This window comes from Homo sapiens, chromosome 8, assembly GCF_000001405.40.
Source record: "Homo sapiens chromosome 8, GRCh38.p14 Primary Assembly".
Taxonomy (NCBI): Eukaryota; Metazoa; Chordata; class Mammalia; order Primates; family Hominidae; genus Homo; species Homo sapiens.
Genome location: NC_000008.11, coordinates 102,153,533 through 102,154,732, shown reverse-complemented (window position 1 = coordinate 102,154,732; position 1,200 = coordinate 102,153,533). Strand labels below are relative to the sequence as shown.

The 1,200-nt window shown below is 34.7% G+C and overlaps 1 pseudogene; it reads right to left on the bottom strand.

The window, feature by feature from the left end:
• Positions 1-183, bottom strand: LOC112268018 (ATP synthase subunit ATP5MJ, mitochondrial-like; annotated as a pseudogene).
• Between the last annotated feature and the right edge of the window lie 1,017 nt (positions 184-1,200).

Below are 1,200 nucleotides of genomic sequence, written 5' to 3'. Positions count from 1 at the left end.
TTAGTAATGACCATGAGCGGATGCAAGACTCAATGCTTTCTAAGCTTTACTTCTTTTATCAGCACTTCTGATTTTATAAGCAATAATGCTTATCAACCCCATTCCTACCCAAATCTCCTGGCATGCTTGGGTATAGGAGGGCTTCATGGGGATCCAAACATTTTTAATAATGCTTTGGAACATCTCAGTGCAGAACCAACAGCTCAGGCTGCACCTGAGCCCCACAGCCAATGACTATAGTTTTTATATTCATCCACAGGCTACTATTTTTGGTGCTCTTTATTCCTTCCAGTATATCTGAATTACCATATGATGCCATTTCTTTTTATTCTAAAGAGCTTGCTTTATAGCATTTTTTGCAGTTTTCCCTTCCCTGTTTCAGACCTTGTGCCAAACAGGGCCCTGGGGATCTTCTGTGATGTAACATATTCGTTACTTGATAAGTTGAATTTTTCAAGGAATTTGTTCATTTTATCTAAGTTATTGAATTTATTGGCACAAAGTTGTTCATATTGCTCCTATACTATACTTTTGATGCCATGGTTTCTGTAGTGACATCCTCTTTGAATACTGATATTGGCAGTTTGCCTTTTCTCTATTTTTCTCTTGAGGTTTGCTAGGGGTTTATGAATTCTGCCACAAGGAGTCAATTTTTGATCTTATTAATTTTCTGTATTTCTGTTTTTTATTTCATTGATTTCTGTTGTATCTTTATTATGTTCATCTTTCCACTTATTTTAGGTTTAATTTGCTTATCTTTTTCTAACTTCTCTAGGTGTTTAGTTATTTCATTAATTTTAAACCTTTCTTCTTCTCTCATATAAACAGTTAAGGTTATTACTTTTCCTTTATTATAACTTTAGTTACAGCCCATAGATTTTTATATATTATACTTTTATATACTTTATTCTGTTCAAAATATTTTCTAATTATCCTGGTAATTTTTTATTTGATCTATGAGTTATTTATAAGTGTATTGTTTAAGTTTGAAGTATTCAGGGCTTTTCTAGCAATTAGTGACGTCTTTTCATTCTGGCTTCCCTAGCTCTGAACCCTATAACATGTGATCTTTGCAGGGCCCTGGGTAATCTTGTCTTGCAGTCCAACTATGGTAGCCTGACTTCTAAGGTGGCTCTCAATGGTCCTTCCACCTCCTGATCTACATGCCCTTACAGAAAGAATCCTTTCCCTTTGAGTATG